At 48.9% G+C, this 22,425-nt stretch overlaps 1 protein-coding gene across 3 annotated transcripts, besides 3 other annotated features; it reads right to left on the bottom strand.

Annotated features, from left to right (window-relative positions):
- Positions 1-2,846: 2,846 nt before the first annotated feature.
- LAIR2 (leukocyte associated immunoglobulin like receptor 2) lies at positions 2,847-10,703 on the bottom strand. Of its 3 annotated transcripts, NM_002288.6 has the most exons (5): positions 10,582-10,703; positions 9,799-9,834; positions 5,350-5,643; positions 4,449-4,499; positions 2,847-3,008 (listed from the first exon to the last, which is right to left on the bottom strand). In NM_002288.6, the coding sequence occupies exons 1-5, from the start codon at positions 10,613-10,615 to the stop codon at positions 2,965-2,967; spliced, it is 459 nt and encodes a 152-aa protein (NP_002279.2). In that variant the 5' UTR covers positions 10,616-10,703; the 3' UTR covers positions 2,847-2,964. The 3 variants fall into 3 exon arrangements, with proteins under 3 accessions (NP_002279.2, NP_067154.1, XP_011525263.1); NM_021270.5 differs by lacking the exon at positions 4,449-4,499; XM_011526961.3 differs by lacking the exon at positions 9,799-9,834.
- Positions 3,262-4,077: an enhancer, noted in NCBI's record as "H3K4me1 hESC enhancer chr19:55020667-55021482 (GRCh37/hg19 assembly coordinates)". NCBI's record gives its function as "activates a minimal SCP1, AML or CMV promoter by ChIP-STARR-seq in naive H9 embryonic stem cells {active_cell/tissue: H9 hESC(naive)}" and the evidence as "EXISTENCE:reporter gene assay evidence [ECO:0000049][PMID:30033119]".
- Positions 5,572-6,072: an enhancer, noted in NCBI's record as "H3K4me1 hESC enhancer chr19:55018677-55019177 (GRCh37/hg19 assembly coordinates)". NCBI's record gives its function as "activates a minimal SCP1, AML or CMV promoter by ChIP-STARR-seq in primed H9 embryonic stem cells {active_cell/tissue: H9 hESC(primed)}" and the evidence as "EXISTENCE:reporter gene assay evidence [ECO:0000049][PMID:30033119]".
- Positions 6,797-6,966: an enhancer, noted in NCBI's record as "experimental_51709 CRE fragment used in MPRA reporter constructs". NCBI's record gives its function as "activates a minimal promoter by MPRAs in K562 erythroleukemia cells, with activity observed for the introgressed 19:55017869 variant allele {active_cell/tissue: K562}" and the evidence as "EXISTENCE:reporter gene assay evidence [ECO:0000049][PMID:34662402]".
- Positions 10,704-22,425: the final 11,722 nt, after the last annotated feature.

Below are 22,425 nucleotides of genomic sequence, written 5' to 3'. Positions count from 1 at the left end.
CTCTCTCCTGAGCTCCTTCCCAGGGTAGTGCCCAATATGGAGGAAGCAGGGTTCAAAGGTGATGCTTGGGACAGTGGTTCTGTGCCCTCCTGCTGGCCTTTGGGCTTTGGGCCTGAGCTGACTGGGGTCTGTGGGGTTTGCTTACTAGATTGCCGGGGGGATCCCACTGATGTCTGTACCTGATAGCCATTTGTCCTTCCTTCCTCTCTCTGCTCCCTCAAGGCCTGGGGACCCTTCTTGTTGACTCAATGTCCACTTAGTCCCAGGGATTCAGGGACATTTGTGAGTATCTGCTGCTGCCCCATCTGGCCCAAGTGAGGCCTCCCCTCCCCTCCATGTTGGGCCCCACTGCAGCCCCCTGATGTTCACCCCCAGGACACTCCTCAGGGGAATTAGGGTGCGGTCATGATCACAGGGTGGGCCTTCCCTCTCTGCCTGGCCACACTGCACCACCGGGTGTGTTAAACGTGGCTCCTCCTCCAGGTGGGCTTGGGGGCGGTGGAGCAGGAGGGACATCCTCTCCATACAGCAGTGTCCCCAGACCCATCGCGCTGAGTCCCAGCCCCTGCATTGGGCGGGTTGGAGGATCCAGAAGAAAAGATGAGTCGCTGCCTCTGCTTTTCTGTCCTCTGCCTGGACCCATCCTCTTTCCACCAATCCCCACAAAAGAACAGTTGGGTGCTTTTGTTTAATTTCCCTTAAACCATGACTGTCCTGCTTTTCACTGTGGCCTGGCTGCCTGCACATCCTGGACTTCCTTACACTGGAGCAGGTACGGGGGTCGGCTCAGCCCTCCTGTGCTCTGCAAGGGGTAGAAAAATTCACACAGCCTCCTCTGCTAAGGTCAAGCTGCCACCCTTTGCTGAAGGCCTCATTTACCCACCTGTCCACCTCAGGGTCCAAGCCAAACAAACAAGACGTGATGGGAGAAGACACTGCGCTAATAGTTGAAAAACAACCAGAGAGAAGAAAGACAGAGATACAGAGATGCAGAGACACGCACACCACACACACACACAGAGAGAGCAGGGAGAATGTGTCCCACATAAAGAACAGAGAAAATCAGTCATCATGTAACAGAAGAAGGCAAAAATAAAGAGCACAGGTCTAGGAAACAGATCCTGGAAGGAAATTAAACTTGAGCACAAATAGAAAATTAAAGCTCGGCCGGGCGCGGTGGCTCACGCTTGTAATCCCAGCAGTTTGGGAGGCCGAGGCGGGCGGATCACGAGGTCAGGAGATTGAGAACACGTTGAAACCCCGTCTCTACTAAAAATACAAAAATTAGCCGGGCGTGGGGGCGGGCGCCTGTGGTCCCAGCTACTCGGGAGGCTGAGGCAGGAGAATGGCGTGAACCCGGGAGGCGGAGCTTGCAGTGAGCCGAGATCGCGCCACTGCACTCCAGCCTGGGCGACAGAGCGAGACTCCGTCTCAAAAAAAAAAAAAAAGAAAAGAAAAGAAAATTAAAGCCCAGTACAAATTAAAATTTGAGAGTATGGCAGGGCAGAAACCTCCCAGCGCGGTGAGCTGCAGCCTGTCCTGGAGTTCAGGCAGCCCCTGCCCCTGAGACCTGGCTAACCTTGGAGAGGTTGCTCCATGTCTCAGTCGATAGTTTCTCTGAGGAAAGGGGGGAAAATAATAAGGCACGCTGAGGACAGTGTGTACAAGGACTTAATGTGTCGATATTTGCATAGAACTAAATTAGCAATTGCCCCATAGAAAGAACTGGCTGAGCTCTTGTTGAAGTTTTAAAAATTATATATATCGGCCAGGCGCGGTGGCTCACGCCTGTAATCCCAGCACTCTGGGAGGCTGACGCGGGCGGATCACCTGAGGTCAGGAGTTCCAGACCAGCCTGGCCAACATAGTGGAACCCCGTCTCTACTAAAAATACAAAAATTAGCCCGACGTGGTGGCGCGTGCCTGTAGTCCCAGCTGCTCGGCAGGCTGAGGCAAGAGAATCGCTTGAACCCGGGAGGTGGAGGTTGCAGCGAGCCGAGATCCCAGGCATCTGGCGCATTGCAGGCCGCCCGTCATCTCCTCCAACCTTCACCCTCCTCTGCACAGTGCACGCCACTACCCAATTCCCAGGTGGCTAAATGCGGTCCTGAGGGGCTCCCCCAAACCCAGGGTCCGAGCCAAGCGTCCCTCTTCCAGGAACAGCGTCCCTCCCCTCCCCCACTGCCGAGGCAGCATCTTCAATATCCTTCAAGAAAGGCAGACATTCTCTCTTGGAATGTCCTTCCCTCCTGCCTCCTCCACGGTCCAAGGTCCAGGACACCACCCGTTATTCTACACCATGACTTCCTGGGCTTGGTCTTCATAACATTTGCCACCATTTAAAATTACATATGTATTATATATGTGCAATATTACAGTTTTTATATTATTTATAGTTATATGTATCATGTATTATGCAAACGTATAATATATAACAAATATATATTAAATTATGTAATCTTGACATATACATCATAATTTAATGTATATAATGTTAATTGTATATGATTTATACTTATAATATATGTTGCATATATTCACTATAATATATAATGTATAATGTATATTACATATAAACATATAATTAAATATAAAATTTTTCTATTATAATTATAATCTATAAATAATAGATAATATATATTTATGTTTGTACCTGTTTATTAATTATAATAACACCTGAAATTTATTGTACTATATATTGTAAATAAATCTTTCATATAATATAATTATAGTGATATGTGGTGATATGTTAACATATTTTTATTATATAATTATGTTCCTTATATATGTAATACATTACGTGAACATATTTAATATAATTGAAATGATAGGTCTGAAATTCTCCATTGCGAATCGTATCTTTTTATTTGTATATGTATGTATAGGCATCTGTGCATTTCTATTGCTCATTCTAATTATTTCTCCCCATTGAAGTTCACAAGACGGGAGGCCATTTCTCCTCATTCATGGTGCATCAAATCCGGAGGCTTCAGTGCCTGGCACAGTCCCTGTGAGGACAAAATACTTCCTCAGTATTAATAGGAGCATCCCTCCTTTGGGGTTTTCTAATCAGCACTGATGTCAGCGCCGTGTGTACCTGAACTCAAGTCTGCCCTAAACGATTCTACCAGGACAGCTCTTCTATTGCCTCTGTTTCACATGAGGAATTTGGGACACAGGAGGTTTGGGTGAGTCACCGTCAGGCATAGAGCCAGGGGGTGGCAGAACCACCGGGATTTGAACCATGAACCCAGCAATCTGGCTGCAGGAGGGTCTGCCCTCGTGACCTTTATATGTCACTGCATGAAGGTGAGAGAAGAGAGAAGGAAGGAGAAGAAGAGAGGGAGAGAAACAGAGGCAAGATATTCCCGCAGACAGAAGGCTAATAAAAACCAGACACTGGACTTGAACCAGGTCTGCGGGACTCAGGAGCATGTCCCGCTGTGCCCCAGCAGCCCAGGAGCCTCTGAGGGGGTCCGGATGGAGCACGGCATCGCTCCTCCCACCTCCCCATGTGGCTTCAGCCCCTGGTCCCACCTGCCTGAGCTCACAGCCCGAGCCTCACAGGCAGTCACCGGGTCTAGGTCCAAGGACGTACTCTGGGGATAGAAACCCAGGTGGGGAAGGGGCCGCGAATGGCTTATGACCCCGTGTCCTCCCCTGGCAGTTTCTGGTCACAGATCACAGGCGGAGATGGACAACTTGAGACCCAGGGACTTGGGGCAGCTTCACTCCCATCACACAGAGTCCAGGGGCAGAGCCAGAGGCAGCTTCTCTCCCATCACAGAGTCCAGGGCAGAGCCAGATGGAAGGGAAGCCTCATGGCTTCATCCTGGTCACCGTTCACAGCTACGTCCCCTCCCTGTGGAGCCCTCCTCCTCTTAAGGGACCTTACTCCACCGTTCAGGCCTCCCCCGGAGATCACAGAGCCAACAGGAGCAGCCCCGTCCCTCTCCGGGTGTCCCAGGTTGGAAGGTGAGTTCTAAGTCCCTCCATCAGGTGCAGAGCGGGGTGAATGGTGAGGCCACGCCCACAAGGGGGCAGCGTGGAGCTCGGGAGAGCCCGGAAGTCTGGGGTGGGGCTGCCCGGGTGGGTGGCCCCTGCCCCTTCATGGCCTTGTGCCGTTAAGCACGAAACTTTAATTTATGTTTTGCATATTAGAGAGGAGGAGGAGTTAGAGGATCAGACTAGTACCTCCCCCATTAAGTGGTGCTTGCATTAAGTGCTTTCCACAGTTCCTGGCATGGAACAAGGTTGCAATCACTGTACCATTGCTGCTATGGTCTCTGTGAGCATTAGCGACCTCCCAGAGCTTGGTGGGTGTCGGTGCCTTCCCGTGGCCTCCCTAGACCTTGACTCCAAGCCCAGGGCAGAGGGCTGGACCCGGAACAGCATCCGCAGCACAGATTCCCCTGTAATCCCCTCCAGCTGAGGGCCCTGCTACTGACCAGCTGAGGAGCCGGGCTCTGTGTCCGGGGAGTCCGGGCCTCCAGAGCTTTCTGTAAACAGGGGCAGGAGAAGGATTTAGAACCCGTCCCAACCAACCTGCCCTCCTCCACCCTGAGCCCCCATCCAAAGGCCGCATGACCATCACGCAATCCCAGACAATGTCTCGAGACTCCTGAGAAAACGGGGCAGGGGACAGGAGGCTGGGGAGAGCCCCGCTGCTTGCCCCATTCTCCCTGGGGCTGGTCACTCCCTCTGCTCCTCCCACCACAAGCTCTTCTTGACCTCAGGGGACTGCTGAGGTCCTGGGGGGACATGAAGATGGGTTGGATCCTCTCCAGTGGACTTTGACTCCAGGACATCTCGGGCTGAGCACACACAGGAGTGCATGTGGTCACATACCAAAGGTTTTCCCAAAGCACTGTCCCGCCCTGGTCAGGGGCCATCCCTGGACCCTGTGTTCTGCCCAGTGGGAGATGAACCACACCAGGAGAAGCACATTGCCTGGGGCAGGTTCTGGCTCAGTGGAAAGGAATAACAAATGGGACCATCAATCCTGTGTGAAAAGACACTCATCCCCTTGTAGGGGGGTTGCCCCCTAATCTCTGGGAACCCACTCCCCACCCAGCCAAGCAGAGCCAGCTCTGAGCCAACCCAATGCTGGGACTGAGTGTCCACGCCATCTGTGGCGTCCAGAGGAGATCAGGGCTCCAGGGACCTAAGCAGGTGTGAGGGCAGAGGGGAGGTGTGTGCAGAGGAAGAAGGGGAGGGGAGGGCTTGGGGTCAGGAAGAGGGCAACGGTGGCCACAGAGAGAGGACAGCAGCCGGGACAGGGACCAGGGACCTCGGGACAAGCTCGAGGGTCGAGCTGAGACTGGGGCAGGGCCCAGGTGACGTCCTCACCTTTCACCAGCAGCTCCAGGAAGTCACTGTGCTCAGACCATCCAGGGGGCTTATAATAGAGGCAGCGATAAAGCCCGGCATTTCCTTCACTTACTGAGTCAATGTGGAATCTGGCCTCTGACTCAGATGGACCAAGTCGAAACACATTATAACTATCTTTGTACTTGGCTCTATCCTCCCTCTCCAGGCGGAATGTTTGAACCCCAACCGGGCCCCGGCACATGAAAGTCACATGGCTCCCCGGGGAGATCACAGTGCCTGGCTCAGCCGAGATGGAGGGTCTGGGAAGGGCCCCTAAGAGGGAAGCAAAGAAGGATCTCAGCGTCCACTGTAGGAAGTCACCATGCCACACACGTCATTTTAGGATCACAATTCAGGGATTTTAGCAATTTTATAGAGTTATGCAGCCACGACCACAGCCCAACCTTAGAACATTCCCACGCCTCCTGCACCTTCTACGTGCATGTGATTCTCATCACTGCAGAGTTTTTTCCCAGTTGACAGTGAGGACCCTGAGACTTGCTCACAACTTGGGCCTTGCTCAGGGTCACGTGGGAAGTGTCGGAGCAGCCTGGAGCCCTTCATGCCTGCTGCAGAGCCCAGGGCCACTTTCTAGAGGGACAGAGGGTGGGAGGGAGGCACACGATGGGGATGACAGGGTCATTCGTGAAGGACAAGGGACAGGGAAGCGAGGGCTCTGGAGATGGCTCGTGCTGGGGCCTGAAGGGCACTGGCCGGTCCCCGGGTGGGACTGAGTGTGGGACGGGGGTTGCCAGGCTCCTTTGAGGGTCTGGTGGGGTGAGGGTGAAGCCCCCAGCCCTGATCTGCTCACAGCAGATGCCCAGCCCGTGACAGGTCCCCATTGCTAATGCAGATCTCTGTGGAGACACCACCTCTGGGTTTTCCTCTATAGTTTCTACTTTCTTCTCAGCTTAATTTGCATTTCCTTGTTATTAAGGCTCTTGAAAAACCCCATTTATCTCAACTGGGCTTGGGGTGGAGGAGGAAGGGCGGGTTTGACGCCCTGAAACAGGAAGGTTGTGTCAAAATTAGCAAAATCCCTGAGCGGGGCAGAGAGCTGGCAGGGCTTCAATTCACTCGTCCCGTCTTCATTCATTCCTTATTATTGACAAATTAAAACTGCATGTATTTAAGGTGTACAACATGATGTTTTGATACAGGTATACACTGTGGAATCGCTGAATCAAGCTAATTAATATAACCTCACTTTGCGTAGTTAATTGTTGTGGTGAGAACATTTAAAATCTGCCCTCTTAGCGATTTTCAAGCGTATGATATATTGTGATTAACTCTAGTCATTATGTTACACAATCCTGAACTTACTCTCCCTGTCTAGACGAAATTTTCTATCCTTTGACCAGCATCTCCCCAAACCCACCCATTTGTTCATTTTTCTTTCTTTTAACCATATCTCAGTTACTTATCAATCTGTTTAAAGACGCTTTTCATGAGCTGCTAATTCCGCAAATGTGAGAAACACATACAGGATGCCTGCCCTTTGGAGGTGGACGTCTAGAAGGGAGGACAGATATTGATCGAAGAATTGTCCAAATCTGCAGCTGCGAACTGCAATAAGTTTCCTGTGGGTAAGTGTGCAGGGATCTAGGGGACAGGTGGGCGGTGGAGCTGACCTCCTCTGCAAAGTCAGGGGAAGCTCTCTCTGAGCTGAGAGCTGAGGGAGGAGTAGAAACTCCCTGAGCTGAGCAGACAGGGGACACCAGGGCACTCAAAGTGGGAAAATTCCTCAAAGGAAACAAGGTTTTAGTTAGAGAGGAGAAATCAATTCAAGAATCATCATGTACAACACGGTGACTACAGTTAATAACAATGTATTACATTATTGGACATTGCTAATCCAGGTGATTCTAAGCGTTCTCACCACAAAAAAATGATTCGCACAGGAGGAATGCCTACGTTGCCTAGCTCGATGTAGCCATTCCTCGCTGTGTGCAGAGTCCACAACGTCATATTGGACATGACAAATACATGCAATTTTCATCGGTCAATTTTAAACTGAATTAATTAACTTTTAAAAATCAGACCAGGCGCGGTGTCTCACACCTGTAATCCCAGTACTTTGGGAGGCCGAGGTGGGCGGCTCACCTGAGGTCAGGAGTTCGAGACCAGCCTGATCAACATGGTGAATCCCCGTCTCTACTAAAAATACAAAAACATCAGCCAGGCATGGTGGCAGGCACCTGTAATCCTAGCTACCTGGGAGGTTGAGGCAGGGAGAATTGCTTCAACCAGGGAGGCAGAGGTTGCAGTAAGCCAAGACCGAGCCATTGCACTCCAGCCTGGGCAACAAGAATGAAACACCATCTCAAAAAAAAAAAAAAAAATCAGCATGTGAGAAGAACCACCATGTTGAGCGGCATATGGAGTGTTTGAGAAAGCGAAAGAACCTGGAGGAATGTAGAGATGAGTGAGCCCCAGGTCACAGGGACAGGATGTGGCTGGGAAAATGGGCATGTCCAGAACAAAGAGAGGTGCCTGGGTTGATTCTATCTGAAGATAAACAGGGGAAGGGCTCTAAGAAAAAAACTTCATCTTACGATGAGATATTAAATGAAAATTTTTGAATGCAATTTAAAAACTGTGGAAAGTACAATGGTCATGGTTGTGCTTTTGCAAATCGCCAGTCCCTGGGGTCAGGAAGGGAGCAGGCAGCAGTGGCATGGACAGGCTGAGGCCGGCCTCGGGGAGCCACGGAGGGGAGAAGGGCTGTCACCTGGGGGTGATGCAGGAAAAGTCGATGAAGAGAGAGGGAAAGATGAGAAAAATTTAGAGTGAAATCACCAGGACTGGGTGACATGGTGCATCCAGGAGGATGGAGAAGAGGATGAGTGTTCAGAGTCTGCCCTTTGTGACTGTCACGTTCCCCGCCAAGAAGCTGCCGAGTGAAGTGTGGGCTCGTCTGGGGAAAAGTGCCGGGTTCAGCCTTGGTTGTGTTGGGTTTGAATTCTCATTGTGGAAATCGGTGTGTGGAGGTGATGCCTGCACTCCCAGGGTGACCGCAGCGCTACTCACAGCTGCCAAGACCTGGAAATAACCTGAGTTATATAACCACCACCAAATGAATGGATGAGGAGAATGTGGTGTATATATGCAATGGAATATTATTCAGCCCTAAAAAAGGAAGGACATTCTGTCATTCACAACAGCATGGATGAACCAGAGGACATTATGCTAAGTGAAATAAGCTGGGTACAGAAAGACAAATACCGCATGTGGAATCTAAAAAAGTTCATCTCGGCCGGGTGCAGTGGCTCATACCTGTAATCCCAGCACTTTGTGTGGCCGAGGTGGGTGGATCACCTGAGGTCAGGAGTTCAAGACCAGCCTGGCCAACATGGTGAAACCCCATCTCTACTAAAAACACAAAAATTAGCTGGGCGTGGTGGCATGCACCTGTAATCCCAGCTACTCGAGAGGCTGAGGCAGGAGAATCGCTTGAACTTGAGAAGTTGAGTTTGCGGTGAACCGAGATTGTGCCATTGCACTCCAGCCTGGGTGACAGAGTGAGACTCCATCCCAAAACAAACAAACAAACAAAAAAGGTCATCTCACAGAGTTAGAGATTAGAATGATGCTATTAAAGTCGGGAAATGGGGGGCTTGGGAGAGACACTGATCAAATGGTACAAAGTTTCGGTTAAACAGGAGGAGTAAGTTTTTGAGATCTATTGCATAGCAGGCTGACTATAGTTAATAATAACTTATTATATATTTCAAAATTGCTAAAAGTAGGTTTTAAATGTTCTCATCACAATAAGTATGTGATGTGATTGATATGTTATTTAGCCTTATTTAATCTTTCCACAATGTTTACATACGTTGTAACATCACATCGTGCCCCACAAACATATACAATTATTTGTCGATTAAAAATAAGATTTTTGGCTGGGCACAGTGGCTCATGCCTGTAATCCCAGCACTGTGGGAGGCTGAGGCGGGCGGATCATAAGGTAAGGAGTTCGAGACCAGCCTGGCCAATATGGTGAAACCCCATCTCTTCTAAAAATACAAAAAAAAAAAAAATTAGCCAGGGGTGGTGGTGGGTGCCTGTAATCCCAGCTACTCAGGAGGCCGAGGCAGGAGAATCGCTTGAAACTGGGAGCAGAGGTTGCAGTGAGCCGAGATTATGCCACTGCATTCTAGCCTGGGTGATGGAGTGAGACTCCATCTCAAAAATAAAAATAAAATAAAATATAGGATTTTTGAAAATAAGAAAAGCAAAACATGACAGGTGGAGAATGAAGGAGAGAAAGGGGTGAGGGTTATGCATTTTACATTTGGAATAGTTTGCAATCTAGGGTATATTTAAAGGGATCTCTCCAGGCCCTCTAAGAATCAACATCACTCCCACCCAGCACTGCCTTTGGGGTGACAGAGGGGACTGGGAAGACGGGACGAAGGCATGACTTACCCTCCTGCGTGTGGATGGTCTGGGCCAGGCAGAGCACTGGAAGAGAAGCCCCAGTGAGAAAAATGCCCACTGCCCAGTCTCCTTACAGGGCTGCTGTCAAAAGGGGGCTTGACGGAGCTGGGGGGCATTCAGCATTTCATAACGACCAAGCCAACCCTCCTCGACATCACTGTCTCCATGTAATCCTTCTTGCTGCAAAATGGTTTCAAGATAAATCCCAAAGTCTCCTCTTCCAAAAAGGCTCCTGCTCCCCCAGCCCTTCTTTTTGGTGTTGTTGGAGACGGAGTTTTGTTCTTGTCGCCCACGCTAGAGTGCAGTGGCGCGATCTTAGCTCACTGCAACCTCCACCTCCCGGGTTCAAGCAATTCTCCTGCCTCAGCCTCCCGAGTAGCTGGGATTACAGGTGCCCGCCACCATGCCCGGCTAATTTTTGTATTAGTAGAGATGGAGTTTCACCACGTTGGCCAGGCTGGTCTCAAACTCCTGACCTCAGGTGATCCACCTGCCTCAGCCTCCCAAAGTGCTAGGATTACAGGTGTGAGCACCGCGCCTGGCCCCCCAGCCCTTCTTAAAGCTGACCTCATCCCCACACCCGGGCCCCTGTTTTTAGGACAAGGTTGTCTCTGATCAGACTTAGGCCCCAGGGAGAGCAGTAGGGCAGTCTTGGGGGGAGGAGGACACTTTCCTCCCCAGAATCTTCTGGACTAGAGTCAGGCTTGAGCAGGGAACTTTCCAGACCTCCCGACCCCCTTTCCAGTCCTTCCCGCTCCCTCCAGGACTCACCTAGGCCCAGGAGAGCAGTGAGGTGTGGAGACATGGCCCCGGTCCCAGAACTCTGCAGCAGACACAAGCAGACAGGATGTGCTGGCCGGGGGCCTCCTGCCCGTGGGGCTTCCACAGCAACTGCCTCACACAAGAGGGAGAGCTTTCTGTTCTGTTCTTTCCACCCTTCCCACTAGTGAGATGAGAGGGAGGGCCTTGGTTTCTGAAAAATGTCGCTTACCCGCATGATCAGATGACCTTAAACTAGTTACCCGATGTGTCAGCCTCTTTCTAAATCTATGGGACAAGACAGAATAAAGGTCGTGCAACCAACTGACTTGGATGTCATCCCAACTCCACACGTTAACGACCACCGCTCTTGGGCAAGATGTTACAAAACTAGAAGTCGACATGTCCTCGTATTTAAAATAAGAGTCATAGAAATCCTTCCCCAAGTTTTTAATATTGTGATCTCTGCTAAAATCTCAGCAAGGTATATAATGCATTAAAAAAGATCCTACAGTGCGCCGGGCGCGGTGGCTCACGCCTGTGATCCCAGCACTTTGGGAGGCTGAAAAATTGTGCACTCACTATAGAGAACAGTGGGGAGGTTCCTCAAAAAACTAAACATAGAGCTACCGTATGGTCCAACAATGCCACTTCTGGGTCTATATTTAAAAGAAACAAATTCAGTATGCAAAGAGCCGTCTGAACTCCCCTGATCACTGCAGCACTATTCGCAATAGCTAAGACGTGAAAATCATCTAAATGTCCATTGATAGAAGAATTGATATAGAAAATGTGGTGCACACACAGGGGAATACTATTCAGCCTTAAACAAGGAAGAAAATTCTGCCATGGGCGACAACACAGACGAAACCTGAGGACATCACGCCAAGCGACGCAGATGCAGAGACCAAGTACTGCATGATGTCACTTACAGGAGATCTGCAAAGTCACCAGAGTCACAACATCACAGCAGGGAATGGTGGTTACGGGGGCTGGGAGGAGGGGGAAATGGGGAGTTATTAACAAACAGGCCTAGAGATCTGCTGCACCACATACGACCCATCGTCAGCAATAACGTCTTGTTCACTTGAAATTTGTTAAGAGGACAGAGCTCATGTTAAGTGTTCTAACAATGATACATAATAATAAATATTATATATAAATAATTATAATTATTACATCTAATAATAATATAATTAATATAATATTATTAGTTAAAATTGTTTATCTATTTTATACAGTCATTACATATATAATTGTTTATATATAATAATACAGCAAATACTATATATATGCAAGTTTATATATAATTGTTAATATATATAAACTATTATAATTATACATATACAATTAACAATTTGTGTGTGTGTGTGTGTGTGTGTATGTGTGTGTGGAGATGGAGTCGTACTCTGTTGCCCAGGCTGGAGTGCAGTGGTGCAATCTTGGCTCACTGCAACCTCCGCCTCCCAGGCTCAAGCAATTCTCTTGCCTCAGCCTGCTGAGTAGCCGGGACTACAGGCGCACGCCACCATGCCCGGCTAATTTTTGTATTTTAGTAGAGACGGGGTTTCACCATGTTGGCCAGGCTGGTCTTGAACTCCTGACCTCATGTGATCTGCCCGTCTCAGCCTCCCAAAGTGCTGTGATTACAGGTGTGAGCCACCGCGCCCGGCCCCATTAACAATGTTGTAATTATATATATTATGTATAATACACACACACATTCACACACACACACACACACACACACACACACACTCTACTAGCATAAGTTCTCTTCCCCTCCTCCTACAGTGTCATTTGGCTCCAGGTGGGAGTGAGGTGGTCCAACAGCACATGCAAAATCCCGAAGGGGTTGAAGGGTCAGGAGACAGTGCTTAGAACCTCGCGTTGAGGTCTGGGGTCAGATGGGCACTCAGCCGGGTGTGGAATGAGGAGCAGGACCAGGACCAGCAGTGCATTTCGGCATCACGGAGCTGAGGGGGACAGAGCCCACCCTATCATGGATTCTCATCTCCGCTGCTCCTGAGGACACTGGGGAGCTTGTCTCCAGGTGTAACCGTCGCAGGCATTGACGAGGGTCTACACCGCAGCCGTTGCTCACTTCTTCCTTACTGACCAAAAGCCAGTTCTGTTTGAGTGGTTGTGCTCCAAGCCCAGGGAGCAAGTGGGAGGGAAATGGAGTTTAGATTAAGGCGATTTTAGCAATCCCATTTTCAGGGTTTTCAGGGCGTATGACCAGATATGACCAATAATAATAAAGCAGAACAGAGCAATGTTCCTGGGAATCATATTTATCTCTTAATAACAGAGGGTTTCAAAAAAGAAAAAAAAAACCACCCTAGGCGACACAGTGAGACTCTGTCTCAAAAATAAAAAGAAAGTTTTTTGCATCAGAATAGTCCAAACATTTCAAAAACATTGAAACATTCCATCATAATCACTGCATTGCAGACTAGTCCTCCTCCCGAGACATGGTGGCTGTAATGATCTCAAGCTGGGATCTCATGGACGGACAGGGGAACTCAAGCTAAACCCTGGCCCTCAAAGAGTTCTGCGCAATGCAGTCCCAGGTATGTTCTTCCAATCTAATCCAACTTTCTGTGAATATGTTAGACTAAGTCCATAAGACAGCAATCCATCCAAAAAATAACAATAAACCAATTAAAACTGCTTAATATAATATATTAAAGACTTTTTTAGGCCAGGCGAGGTGGTTCACGCCTGTAATCCCAGCACTTTGGGAGGCTGAGGTGGGCGGATCACGAGGCAAGGAGATCGAGACCATCCTGGCTAACACGGTGAAACCCCGTCCCTACTAAAAATACAAAAAAATTTAGCCGGGCGTGGTGGCGGGCGCCTGTAGTCCCAGCTACTCGGGAGGCTGAGGCGAGAGAATGGTGGGAACCCGGGAGGCGGAGGTTGCAGTGAGCCGAGATCATGCCACTGCACTCCAGCCTGGGCGACAGAGCTAGACTCCGTCTCAAAATATATATATATATTTTTTTAATTTTTTTAATGCCTAAGAGATATAAAAACTAAGTGAAGGCTATTCAGTCAAAAGTTAAAGAAAGATGGAGTCCCCAGCCTCAAGCTGAATACTGAACCTGGTGCTCACCTTGATGATGATGAATTAACTGAGCTTTATTTTCATGGTTTTGTAAATCATGAGGACAAGGATAAAGTGCAGGGGTACAGAACAGATTCCAAAAGCTTCCGCCTCATCATAAGAATGATTTCAAATCACTCACCAACTTCTCGTGGTTGCAAGGAATACTACATTTGTTTTGAAACTTAGCATTGAACACGAGGCCAAAACACAGCGGCTCCTGAGAATGACCTTCCTGCTTCTGACTCTTCTTTCATGTGTAGAATGGTTTCTATGTATTAGATTCTCCTCCCTGCCTCTTTTCACTTTAGGTCTTCATTAGCGATTTTTAATCAGCTTTATCAAGGAATCCTTGGCAGACAAACTGCCTTCTTTGAATCTGTGCCATTCAGTGAATTCTGACAGCTGTGAAACCACCAACATATCCAAGATTTTCCTCACTACTCAGATGATTCCTCCTGCTGACAGAATCAACATCAAAGGTCACAGAACACATGGGCAGTTATTCTGGGTTTTTCCATAAAAGGGGTGATACAGAGCTGTCGTCGTTCCATATTCTCAAAGGGCCCCTCCACCTTTGCATTCCTCTAAGACTTCAATCCCAGCTGGAGAAGGTCTATGTCCAAGGCATGCTACAGATTCAGCACAGCACAGCTTACTCATTCAAAAACATTACTTGGACGGGGCTCAGTGGCTCACACCTGTAATCCCAGCACTTCGGGAGGCCAAGGTGGGCGGATCACGAGGTCAGGAGTTCAAGACCAGCCTGGCCAACATGATGAAACCCCCTATCTACTAAAAATACAAAAATTACCCGGGCTTGGTGGCGGGCACCTATAATCTCAGCTACTCAGGAGGCTGAGGCAGGAGAATGGCTTGAACCCAGGAGACGGAGCTTGCAGTGAGCCGAGATCATGCCACTGCACTCCAGCCTGGACAACAGAGCGAGACTCCATCTTAAAAAAAAAAAAAGAAAAAAAAGTTACTTGGTGTGGGATGCACAGGCATAGAGTAATGATTCTCACACTAGACTCAGATACATACACAATATTTGCAACTTAAATTAAACACCAATTAAATGTCAAGTGGAAAGACAACATCTACATAAATAAAATGACATAAGATGCAACGTGAAATGTCATTAAAAGAAGAGTTTGCATTAGAATAGTTCAAATATTTCAAAACTATTCCAGCACCATCACTGCATTGCTGACCTATCTTCCTCCTGAGATGTGGTCGCCGTAATGATCTCAAGCTTGGACCTCGTGGACAGACTGGGGAACTCAAGCTAAACCCCGGTCCTCACAGTTCTGCACGTTGCAATCCTGTGTCGTTCCGTCCAATCTAATCCAATCTCAAGGACCCCAGTTCCTGAGCAACCCTGGCTTGGCTCGGCCAAAGGGAAGCGTCTACAGAATCTGAGTCTAGAATGCCCGGAGGTCTGTACTTCTTGCTGTTTTCAGGAGATTCAACTGCAAAGCCCTCCCCAAGTCATCCACATTGGCTCACGTTTCTGTGCCCCACCCTTCCTGCCTGGGAGGACCCTTCTTGTTCAGCCAAAAAAGCAACCTGAGGGTGGGGTGGTAGCAGGGACTCACCCATTTCTCTTTCCATCTTCTGGCCCGGATGCAACCCTGGAAGGAAGACCTCAGGACGATGATCATCTTCATAGGATTCCCGACCTGTGCCTGGCTTTGTCCTGAATATTAGCCTTGGCAGCCTGGCCTGGGCTCCGATGGTGGATGAACTTGGCTTTCCACGGGCTGCCACCTCCAGCCTGCGCTGTGGAGAGACCAGGTCCTCGGAACAGTATTTTAACCTTGTCCTCCTTTCCCTTCCAGGGTTTACCAAGACATAGCGGGTGTCATAGATGTGAAAAAGCTTCTGCTATACCAGGGTCAGGAACAGAGCAAAACTGAAAACCGCACAGGATGTGGTCTGCCAGGTGCCAGCATCACAGCTCAAATCCTTAAGAAGCTCCAACCGCAGGCATGGAAATAAACAGCTTCTCCCTGCCCTGTATACGTCTCCGATTTTACCCAGGATGGGCTGAGGAAGCAACACAGATTCCCAAATGTTACTTTTTTATTTTGCTTGAGAGCCAAGGCAATATTAGACAAGCCTTACTCCCTAATTAGTGCCTGACAAGAACCATATCTCTGTCCCAATCCTTCTATTCAAAGTAGGCACAATTTGCTTTTACCAAATGTAAAACTCATGTCAAAGCCATGCTGTGAGTATTTACACCAGAGAAATCGGCAAATGCTACACGTCGGGGTTGTTTTTTGTTTTTCTTTTTGCTTTTTTTTTCAGAGAGCTGATTGTCAAGACTTTACCAGCACACTGCTGGTAAATTTCCAAAGGCCAATTTAAAGAAATTTTTTTAACAGAACATGTAAAAAAAAAAATCAACGTGAAGTCAACATGCTCCAGGGAAATCAGAGGCTTGATGAAGCATGACTATCTCTGTAGTGTATACTCCAGCCTGTTTCCCCCTCCTACCTCAGGTACCGTAACCAGCATCTGAAGTCTTATATTCAAATTTCCCTTGCACGGCCAGGCACGGTGGCTCACGCCTGTAATCCCAGCACTTTGGGAGGCCGAAGTGGGCGGATCACAAGGTCAGGAGATCAAGACCACCCTGGCTAACACAGTGAAACCCCATCTCTACTAAAAATACAGAAAATTAGCTGGGTGTGGTGGCGGGCGCCTGTAGTAACAACTACTCGGGAGGCTGAGGCAGGAGAATGGCATGAACCCAGGAGGTGGAGGTTGCAGTGAGCCGAGATTGCGCCATTGCACTCCAGTCTGGGCGACAGAGTGAGACTCTGTCTCAAAAAAAACAAATTTCCCTTGCACTTTTGTATATACAGTGTTATCTCATCGATGTATCAGTTTGGCATGTGTGTGTATATATATGTAGGCTGTCATCTTTAAGATTTATTTATTTATTCATTCATTCATTTATTTGAGACAGGGTCTCGCTCCGTCACCCAGGCTGGAGTGCATTAGCACAATCTCAGCTCACTGCAGCCTCCACTTCCTGGGGTCCAGAGATCCTCCCACCTCAGCCTCCTGAGTAGCTGGGACCACAAGCACACACCACCACGCTCCGCAAGTTGTTGTTTTGTTTTGTTTTGTTTTGTTTTGTTTGATAGAGATGGGGTTTTGTCTTGTTGCCCAGGCTGGTCTCAAACTCCTGAGCTCAAGCTCACCCACCTTGTCCTCCCAAAGTGCTAGGATTACAGGCGTGAGCCAACACACTTGAGCCATGCTGTCATTTTGTTGTTGTTGTTGCTGTTGTTGAGACAGACTCTCACTCTGTCACCCAGGCTAGAGGGCAGTGGCACCATCTCGGCTCACTGCAACCTCTGCCTCCACAGTTCAAGTGATTCTCCTGCTTCAGCCTCCTGAATAGCTGGGATAACAGGCACCCACCACCACACCCAGCCAATTTTTGTATTTCTAGCAGAGACGGGGTTTCGCCATGTTGACCAGGCTGGTCTCGAACTCCTGACCTCAGGTGATTCACCTGCCTTGGCCTCCCAAAGTGCTGGGATTACAGGCGCTCAATTTTAATTTTAGTGCAAAGTATAGTTTTCAAAACACTGTTTGCAATGTCATCAAATACAGAATGAGCATGCATCAATGTTTCCTTAATTCATTAATGATGAAATCATCATTCAAAATTCCTATCTTTACCCAAATATTTAGCTTCTTCTGTTGCTCTTCATTTGTTCCTGCGTTTCTCCATTTCCACTGGGATGATTTCCTCTTGCCCAAGCCTTTTATTCTGGCAACCAATGAACTTTACACTCTTTCTATAGTTTTGCATCTTCCAGAATGTCACATAGTTGGAATCAGACAGTGGATACGCCATTTGGGCAGGCTTATTTCGTGTAGTGATATACGTTGAACTCTCCTCCACGTCTTTTCATGACTTGAGAGCTTGTATCTTCTTAGCATGGGATAATATTCCATTGTCTCGACACATAGTTAATCCACTCACTTACTGAAGGGCATCTTGGTTGCTTCCAAGTTTGGGCGATTATGAATAAAGCTACTGTAAAGATTCATATGCAGACTTTATGTGAACATACATTTCAAACTTCCTTGGGTAAATACCAAGGAATGCAATTGCTGGATTACATGGCAAAGCTACATTTAGTTTTAGAAGAAATTGCCGCACTGTCTCCCAAAGTGACTGTACCATTTGGCAATCCCACCAGCAATGAGAGTTCCTGTTGCTCCACATCCTCACCAGTATGCCAGTATGTGGTATTGTCCATGTTTTAGAATTTGGCCACTCTAATAGGTGTGTCGTGGTAACTTGGTTCCTAAGATACTGATAGAGGTGCAGAACACCAGCTGGGAAGTCAGCCAGAATGAGCTTCTCCTGTGACTTCCTGTCCCACAGCCTCAGAGACCTCGGACAAGCCACTTCACCTATAAACTTCTCTCTTCTTTTTTTTTGAGACAGAGTCTCGCTCTTGTCACCCAGGCTAGAGTGCAATGGCACCATCTCAGCTCACTGCAACCTCTGCCTCCCAGGTTCAAGCGATTCTTCTGCCTCAGCCTCCTGAGTAGCTGGGATTACAGGCACATGCCACCACGACCAGCTAATTTTTCTATTTTTAGTAGAGACGGGGTTTCCCCACGTCAGCCACGCTAGTCTTGAATTCCTGACCTCAGGTGATCCACCCACCTCAACCTCCCAAAATGCTGGGATGACAGGCGTGTGCCACCCCACTCGGCTACTTCCCTTATAAATTTTTCTAAATATAAATGTGTGAATTTTCTTTCTTCAGAAGCCGATCAACCAATATTTATCAATTGCTTATTATCTGCTTGGTGTTTGAGATTCAGGAGTGAACAAAACAGATGCAGCCCCTGCCCTCAACAGAGCTTGAGTCTAATGATGATAGGGACAGGATCAAAGAGCAAATCACAAATTGTTTAGCTACTATTGTGAGGTAAGAGTTAGGGTGACACTAACCACCGTTATAAGTAAGTCTTAAAATACTGGCTGGGCGCGGTGGTTCACGCCTGTAATCCCAGCACTTTGGGAGGCCGAGGCAGGCGGATCACGAAGTCAGGAGATCGAGACCATCCTGGCTAACACAGTGAAACCCCATCTCTACTAAAAATGCAAAAAATTAGCCAGGCGTGATAGTGGGTGCCTGTAGTCCCAGCTACTCAGGAGGCTGAGGCAGGAGAATCGCTTGAACCTCGGAGGCAGAGCTTGCAGTGAGCCGAGATCTCGCCACTGCACTCCAGCCTGGGCGACAGTGCGAGACTCCATCTCAAAAAAGAAAAAATACCGATGGCTTAACACAGTGAGGTTTGGCATCTCACTCATGTAAATGACCAATGAGGGTTTCTCTGGGCAGAATTTGAATTTTCTCCCCAGGATGACTCAGGGACATCCGCTTCTTCCATTGTGCTCACATCATCCCCTTGGGCAATGGCGTCCCATACTTCAAACAGAAAGAGGAGACACAGAAAATATTTGTAAACTTGCAAAATTGATTGACGCACATCATTTCTGTCCAGATTTTTGGCTATAAGTAGTCATTATGGTCAGTCACACATGGATGCAAAGGAGACTAGGAAAAAAGTCCCTTGGTGAGGGTAGCCACCTCCCAGAGATTCAAATGCTTGCACTGTAAGAGGAAGTAGAGAATTCTTTTTTTCTGGTGAGCAGCCACACATCTCTGCCTCACGTGAAAAATAATCTCAAGAAGAAATGTACCTGAGACTGTATAGCCAAGGAGCACGACGTTGTGATACCCTGACTGATGGACCATGTGGGGTGATTGAATCTCCTGATCTTAGAAGGAACTTGCCAAACGAAAGTTTCAAGTAACATCAAAGAGAAACATCTCCATGTTCCTTCTGGAACCCATGCACACCTTAGCTAACCTGCATGGAGTTGTAGAAACCACTAGAACTGAGGGAGGCAGCTCCATGCAAGGGTGACGGCCTTCTCCCCTCCCAGTTCTCTTAGTTCTGGAGTTCGATGAAGGACGGGGTCCACACGGCCCACTCCGTTTCCTCTTTCTCTGAACCGGGGTTGCAGAACCTGAACCCAGACAACCTCTGGGTATGAGTCCAGCCCCAGATCACAGCTGTGGTTTTGGCTGCCGCGGTGGCCGTGACAAAGTCCTGAGTCGTTTGCTGTTGTGGGTATGATGGACAGCTGCGACGTTTTCCTGGACTCCCACTGAAATCTTTAACTTCAAGATCATCTTCTCCATCCCAACAGAACTCATCAGGCCCAGAAGGCTCCCAGCCCCAGAGGTTCCCAGAGCTCTTCAGGTGGAATGTTGAGTCTGCACAAGCCAGGATGGTGACTCTGGAGAAGTTCTCCAGAAAAGAATCAGCATCTAGAGTCTCATGAGTTCCAGGCCCTTAGAAATTCAGACTCCAGAACCACTGCCAAAGTGACCCCCTCAGCCCAGCCCTTCGGTACCCAGCATCCACTGTCCTGAGCCCAGCCCTTCCATACCCAGCATCCACTGTCCTGAGCCCAGCCCTTCAGTACCCAGCATCCACTGTCCTGAGCCCAGCCCTTTGGTACCCAGCATCCACTGTCCTCATCCCAGCCCTTCCGTACCCAGCATCCACTGTCCTGAGCCCAGCCCTTCGGTATCCAGCATCCACTGTCCTGGTGGGAGTCCGCTGTGCTGCTCCAAGAAGACAGACCCTCACCATTACCGGAGAGACTGACCCTCCTGTGTCCAGGTCCTGTGGCCCAGACTCAGCTCTGGAAGAGAAATCTGGATTTACAATGCTCAGTACTTCGCTCAAAATCTGCACTCGATGACGTCTGCAAGCTCTTGGTCCCAACCTGGACTGCGAAGCCTGAGGCTTGGGCAGATAATGCCTTCCTGCCATCATCTCTGCTCCCTCTTCAGTCGCTAAGCTCCCACAGCATTGATCTAACCAGACATGGGCCCAGGGAGAGAGCTGTCTTCCCCGCCTCCCAGCCCCAATCCCTCATTCCCTCGCCTGCCATGCCAAGACTGGTCAAGGGAAAGTCCAGGAAGAAAGCATGGTAAGGGGCACCGTGCTGCCTGCGCCCGCCTCGCTGTGCAGATGGCAGAGGCTCGGGATGCGGTGCGCAGAGACTCAGTCCCGACCGTCTTGTGGCTTCTTACCACGTATCTCCCAGGAAGGCACCATGAGGCTTAGCTCTTCCTTCCCGTGACTGGGGTAAAGGAGAGAACTGTCTCCTTGGACATCATCATCCATACGACTGGCCCGAACGTCATCTCTGACCGAAACACCAAATCCAGACGGGCAACCACGGCTGTGGGGTGTGGAGGGGGAATCTGAACACCAACCTGGAGGTCAGACTTGAAGGAGACGGCGACGCTGCCTTCGCCCCATTCACAATATACGACCTTCGATGGGCCACCTCCCCAGTGAGGCTTCATCAAGGGGGCTTGGTCAACTTCCTTTTTGTGTGAACCAAAACGTACATTTCCAGGCGGCTATTAAGGGCTTGAGTCTGTGTCAGAGACGAGCCACGCAAGTCAACGGACCTCACAGTCTAATGTGGAGGGCACACCTCTGACTATTCAAATGTCATATAGGCCGGGCACAGTGGCTCACACCTGTAATCCCAGCACTTTGGGAGGCTGAGGCAGGAGGATCACTTGAGGTCAGGAGTTCAAGACCAGCCTCACCAACATGGTGAAACCCCATCTCTACTAAAAATACAAAAAAAGTAGCCAGGCCTGGTGGTGCATGCCTACAATCCCAGCTACTCAAAAGGCTGAGGCAGGAGAATCGCTTGAACCGGGAGGCAGAGGTTGTGGTGAGCCGAGATTGCACCATTGCACTCCAGCCTGGGCGACAAAAGCAAAACTCCATCTTAAAAAAAAAAAAAAGTCATATAAAGCACATTAACGGTAGATTTTAACAAATTAGCCTCGAAATATCTGCAGTTTGTCACAATGGAATGGTCACTACTCACTCGTGTTACACGTCCATATAGGGGCCCCCGGTTGGCAGTTGGAGCTCCTCCATCAGGTGACTCAGGTGCCCAGATTCTTCCACCTTTGGGATCCAACCTCCCCTAGAACCCTGGAGTGCTCTGTCACCAGTGAGGGGAAAGAGGAAGAGAGAATGGAAAGGGCTCATCCGTGCCTTTTAAATAAAAAATCTGAATGTCGCTTATCACTGCTGCTCACATTCCAAGGGTGGGAATTAGTCAGGAGTCCACAGCTGGGTACAAGAAGGATGAAGATAGGGTCCCTCATGGGGCAGCTGCCTCCAGGGACAACTCTACACCACGTAAGAGAGCTGTGAGTTTTGTTGCACTGAGAGCCATATCTGCTGATGTAGTAAGTGCTCCAGAGGAAAAAAAAAAATCCTATGACCTTGTGTGAAAAGGGGACTTGGGCCGGTCATGGTGGCTCAATCCTGTAATCCCAGCACTTTGGGAGGCCGAGGCGGGTGGATCACCTGAGGTCAGAAGTTTCAGACCATCCTGGGCAACATGGGGAAACCCCGTCTCTACTAAAAATACAAAAATTAGCCAGGCGTGGTGGCAAGCGCCTGTAACCCCAGCTACTCAGGAGGCTGAGGCAGGAGAATCATTTGAACCCAGAAGACGGAGGTTGCAGTGAGCCGAGATGGCACCACTGCACTCCATCCTGGGTGACAGAGCGAGACTCTGTCAAGAAAGAAAGAAAGAAAAAGAAAGAAAGAGAGAAAGAGAGAGAAAGAGAGAAAGAGAG

This window comes from Homo sapiens, chromosome 19, assembly GCF_000001405.40.
Source record: "Homo sapiens chromosome 19, GRCh38.p14 Primary Assembly".
NCBI lineage: Eukaryota > Metazoa > Chordata > Mammalia > Primates > Hominidae > Homo > Homo sapiens.
Note: the sequence above shows the minus strand (reverse complement) of the source record. Positions and strands in the feature narration are given on the sequence as shown.